This window comes from Homo sapiens, chromosome 5, assembly GCF_000001405.40.
Source record: "Homo sapiens chromosome 5, GRCh38.p14 Primary Assembly".
In the NCBI taxonomy this organism is placed as follows: Eukaryota; Metazoa; Chordata; class Mammalia; order Primates; family Hominidae; genus Homo; species Homo sapiens.
Genome location: NC_000005.10, coordinates 133,866,306 through 133,872,305, shown reverse-complemented (window position 1 = coordinate 133,872,305; position 6,000 = coordinate 133,866,306).

The following is a 6,000-nucleotide window of genomic DNA, read 5'->3' as shown; positions in this document are numbered from 1 at the left end:
GCAGTGTCTTATATTATTTTTTATAACTGCATCCTCTCTGTTTTATTTTCTTTTTCTGTAACTCATTAGTTGAATGATGGACCTCTTAGATTTATCCTTGAATTTACTTATCTTTCTTATTGTCTACTTTGCCCCTAATTTTAATGGAGATTTTCTCTATTTTTCAAACATTTTATTGATAAAAACATTTCTGCTCTCATATTTTTAATTTCCAAGACCGTTTTTTTTTTTGTGAATGTTCTTTTGTTCGTTTTTGTTTTTTGTTTTGTTTTGTTTTGTAAGAACTGCCAAGCTGTTTTCCCAAGTAGCTGTAGCATTTTGCATTCCCATCAGCAATGAATGAGAGTTCCTGGCACTCCACATCCTCACCAGCATTGGTGCTAATGTTCTGGGTTTTGGCCATTCAAATAGGTGTGTGGTATCTCATTGATTCAATTTGGAATTTCCTTCCTTCCTTCCTTCCTTCCTTCCTTCCTTCCTTCCTTCCTTTCACAGGGTCTAGCTCTGTCACCTAGGCTGGGGTGCAGTGGCACAATCAGGGCTCACTGTAGCCTTGGCCTCCTGGGCTTAAATGATGCTTTTGCCTCAGTCCTCTGAGTAGATGGGACTACAGGCTACTTAAAAAAAAATCTTTTTTTGAGATGAGGTTTCACCATGTTACCCAGGCAGGTGTTGAACTCCTGGTTTCAAATGATCCTCCTGCCTTGGCCTCCCAAAGTGCTGTGATTACAGGCAAGAGCCAAGTAATAACAGTGCTTGGCCAAATTTGTAATTTTTTTTAATGACATATAATGTAGGGCACCTTTTTATATGCTTATTTGGCATAGCTTTGATGAGGTGTCTGTTGAGGTCGTTTGTCCACTTTTCAGTTGAGTTGTTTATTTTCTTATTGTTGAGTGTTAAGTTCCTCCTGTTTTCAGCCCCACCTATGTCTCTGCCTTCTGAGGAAGTTGGTGCTCTCTCAATTCCTGGGTTTTCTGGATTCTGAATGGACTCACTCATGCAAACTGAGGCTTAGGTTTCAGCTCCTTCTGATCTGCTAAGTCAGCTCTTGCGTCTGCTTTTCAGCATCCAAAGTCTTGTTGATATAACTTGTTTTCTACCATGTTCTCTCTTCTTTGTCCTTGTGGGTTTCTGTCACTTTAAGATACTGCTATTTTAGAGGAATTTTTTTGGGAGATGGGGATTGATATCAGTTTGTACTCCCATCGGCGACGTATGAGTGGCCTGTTTCCCCACACCGGTAGCATGTGTTCTCAACCTTTTGGGTTCTTGCCAATATGGTGGGTGAAAAATGATTCTTGTGTCTCTATTTAAGAGCTAAGAAACCATTCTGTTCCCAGGAGCCTCTCTAGCAGACTTGTTCTCCTGAGCAGTGTCTCCTTGGCCAGAATTTTGCTAGTCATCAGCAAAAGGAATGCAACTGCCCTAATTGGTTTAAGGTTAATCCAGCTTCACATCCTGTTGTGGGGCTGGGATACAGGCCAGCCTTCTTGCTGCATGGATGCCTGGACAGCACCAGGGTTCTGTTAGCAAGGGAGATGTGGTTTGTGGTTGTGTGTCTGTGACTGTATTCCTGCTCTACCCACCTGCTAGGGGCCTTGGCCTCCAACCTGTGCCTCCAAGGTCAGGCAAGGCTGCTCTTAGGTGTCCCCATTCTCATGTGGTCAATGCCACTTGGCTGCCTGTGATGAGAGAATGGTTTTTGGTTGTGGAAATAGCCTGTTTGATGATCAGATCTAAGATATTCGTTGTATAAACCAGGTAAGGGAAGAATCTAGGCTTTAGAACTGGGCAGACTGGGTTCAGATCCCCACTCTACCACTTATTAGCTATGTGACTGCTTAACCTCTCTATACCTCAATTTTCTCAGTAGTAAAACTGAGCCAGGAACTTCTATCTCAGTCCTCATCAGGAGACTGAGAGGTTTGTCTATAGCATGTCCAGCCCAGGGCCTGGCACATAGTGAGTACTCAGCAGGGGACCACCCTGACTCAGGTCTTCCACCTTCCAGAGGGCAGGGAGAATTCTACCAGCTCTGCCCTGGGTCATGAACTCATGGGGGATGGTGATGGGGAGGCTCAATTGTCCCTGTGTCCCCAGACTGAGCACATGGCCAAGCTCACAGAAGGAGCTCAGTCTCTTCTTGTTGAGTAAATAAGACAACAGCAATAAATTAGGGCAAAAGCAGCTGCTGCACATCCTAACAGCGTTCGGCATTCTCGGCCATATTGAGGGAGAATTTCCCCAGATACCAATCTGTATCGAATCATTTACACATGCCATGCCTGCTGATGACTCGCGCTGTTTATCTACAGCATCAGCTCCATATTGATTTATCAATGCCCATTTTGCACAAGGATCAATAGCTTAATTGTATCTCGGGCCAACATGGGGAATACAACCTGTTTGCGATGTAGAGAGCAGGCCTGAGTTGAGAGCTGCCAAAGCCTTTGTTTGCTCCTTGTGAGTCTTCCTGCACACAGTGCAGCTTTAATGGCCAGCATCCAAGTCCCGAGTGACCAGCCATCGTCACTGTGCTGGCCGAGGACCGTTACTTCACCCAGAGGTCAGGACCAGGAGGGACCTGGCAGCTGTGTTGGGTGTGTAAAGAGATCTGAGTGGATGAGGAAGAGGGCTTTGCCTGCTCATGGCCAGTCATCTGGTGGGAAGTGTTGGGGGTCTGTAGCTGACCTGGGCTTCTGTCTTGTGACTTATCCCATGGTGGATGTCACCCCATTTAGCTCTGCCTCCTTGGTCATTTCTCTTGCAGATTGAACATCTCGGAGCAGGGATGCGTTTTGTCTTGTCTGTTCCCCCAGGGTCTGCCACATACAGAGTAAGGGCTGGCTGAATGCTTGAGAATAAAACACACTGTTTTCTACTTTTTCTTGTGGCGATTTTATTAATAGCGGGTCTGCGAGAAGGTGGTGAGGCTCGGGCAGTAGGTGGCGCTCTGTCAAAAGTCTGAGATCCAAGCCCAGGCAGGAAAGCCCGTCGCACGCAAGGGCTTCGAGAATCTACCCAACTTCAAAATTAAACAGGAAATGATGATAAAGCGTTTCGTATTTTAAAAATCTTGACATGATATTGAAAAGCTTTATTTTATAAATGTTAGGGAATTTCGATCAATCAAGTAATATAATATCCATTTATTAAGTACCTACTAAGTGCCAGGTACGGTATTAATTAGCGTATTCATTCTGATGGAGCCTTCCTTTTTATGTAACATGTCACCCATCGCCCCCATCTAATATTTCTATATTACTTACCTTTGAGAGGAATACATTGATGAATTGCTCTATTAAAAGAGAATAAAGATATTTAAAGTCTTTAATGGGAGAGGAATCACAAAGGAGTTTTTAAGATTAACTTAGAATTGTATAGAACGTTCAGCACATTATGCTAATTTTTTTTTGGAAGTTGAACAGCTTAGAGGGGAAAAGAATCAGCCTGTTCCCATCTTGTTGCAGAAGCTGGGTAATCTATGTCTCATCAATGTTAACAAATATACCCCCTAATAGCATTTTGTGTTCTTAACAGTGAGAAATGCTTCCCTGGAAAATATTATTAGCACTTATGTTATCTTACAGATTACACTCTTGATCAACGAGGGTCCCAGTAAAAATATAATGGCAGATTGCAGCTGATGGGCTTTCTGTTTTTATGTTAGAGATGTCATTATTTTGCAAAGTTGAAAGTATTTGAAAATGCACACAGGCACATGCATGCATGTGCACACACACACACACACACACACACACACACGCATGCATACATACCCCCTCCCTTCCCCACCCCCTGCCCCACACCTACCAGAGCCCAAGTTGGCTAAGAGCGTGGGGCTGGGACGGGTTGTAGTTTGCAGGTCCCAGACAACTTCCCTTCCATGTTAAGAAAGTTGGGGGAGCAGGCAGAGCATGGAATGGAAATGGTGCTACCTTCCCCAGGATGGTACTGGCCCGGCTCTCACCCTGAGCTCTGCATACTTGCTCACTGGCCATCTTCCAAACTGGGCTGTTGGCTCCATGAGGACAGGGTGCAGCGTGTCTGGTTTCTGCTGTTCCCTCAGCACCCAGCACTGTGCCTGGCACACCTAAAGGCCTCAGTAACCCTGGATGAGCCGAGGTACTAATATTTAATGTACAGGACAAGTGATCAGAGAGGCGGGCTAAATGTCACCCAGGGACCCAGCGAGCAGCTCCCCCACTGCCTGGGCCACCTTTTGAGGTCATGAACAGGATCCCAGGCTCTGGCTGTACTTGAGGGCAGGACTGTGGCCTTGGAAAGCTTACTGTAAGGACGAGCAGATGGCAAGATCTGCCTGGACTGGGACTGAGTGAGCTGGAGACGGCTTCTGGAGGAAGTGGGGCAAGTTATGAAGAAGAGGAGGGAAAAGTCTGAGAGCAAGAATGAGATTAGGGTGTGTGTTGCAGGCCTGAGGATAGGGCAGGGCAGGGAAGAACCTGACTTGATGCGAACCCAGGCTTCCGGGCCCCAAGGGATCTAAGTTCAAGGCTCCACTTTCCATCCCTTTTATCCTTGGAGGAGTGCTTTGGGCTTTTCTCCCCCCAGGAGCCTCTTCTCCTTTCTCAAAGGACCATTTCCCATCTGCAAAGTAGGGCATGCGGTCAGCTGTGTCTCTGCAGACTGTAGTGCTGGCCATCAGGGAGTCTGTGGACATGTTTCCACCTGTGTGTTCACCATGTGTGTCATGAAGTAGCTGCTGCATTTCCCTGAGGGTGGCTGTGTGTGCTGAGCAGGGAGGGAACTCCCCCAAGGAGCTCACAGTCCAGTGGAGGAAACAGAATCGGCTCATGGGATTATGTGGTTCAAGCGCCACTTCAGGAGTCTCATCCTTAAGTCTTTGTGTTCCCAGACCAAGTACACAGCTTGGGCCTCAGCAAGTCCTAATCTCAGTGAATCGAAGAAAAATCATAGGGGTGTTGGGGACTAAGAGTAGGGGCTGGAGCTGAGCCACTTCTTACTAGAAGTATGGGCAGGGTTGATAAACAGGAAGGGGAATGGCATTCTGGGCTGAGGCAGTGGCAAGGACAAAGGCTCAGAGATAGGAAAAGACGACAACGTTAGGAGTGATCCAGGCTGTCTTGCATGGGGTGCAAGAAGAGGGGCCAGTGCCTTTGAGGTCAGATCACAGGGGGCCTGAGAGGCCAGAGCAAGGTGTCTGCACTTGCTCCTTCTCTGTCTCTCTGCTTGGGGATTCTGAGCAGGGTATGTCCAAAAGGGGGTGGCATCCTGTAGGCAGAACTATGGAGCCCTCTGAGGTTGGAGCTGCTCCCCCACCTGGAGGGCTGAGCGGTTGGAGAAGGGATTGGAGGACAAGGGGCTCCAGCCTAAAGCTTGAAGCCAGGGAGGGCTAGCCTCTCACCTTGCAGATGCTGAAAGGGACACTACACCTTATTCTGGAAGGAAAAGCAGTACCTGGGGAGTGTGACGTTGGCTTTCTGGGTTTCCGGCAGGGCCAGGGGCTGCCTTATGGCCTTTCACCCCCTCAGCCGGGGATGGAGCTCAGGCCTCCGGGATCTGTGTGAGTCCAGGACGGGGCAGTCTCTAGGCCCAGGCAGTGTACACAAAGAGGGGAAAGTGAGGACAGATACTGCAGACCCCATGGGTCCCTCACATCCCTGTGGCCCCAGGGTATGGCCTCTGCATCTTCTACAGAGCTGCCAGGGTACGCTTATCCTGATGGGGGCTGTGTTGTAGGAGATGGGCCAGTAAGGGGTGGCAGCCAGTGGGTAGGCTGCCAGGATTTTCTGGGCTCTGGGGAGTGCTGTCCCTGGCTCTTACGGGAGGGAGGCAGGGAAGAGAGGCTATGCTGCTTATGGAGGCTCACGCTCTCTCTCCTTCCTCGGGTGAGAAGCAAGCCCAGGCAGCAGCGCAGCAAGGAGGAAGAAGACCTCAGTGCTGTCTGAACTCTGTGCCCCACTCCCTTGGGGAAAAAGTTGAGTATCCTATTAAATTACAGCTCTGCAGAGCTGT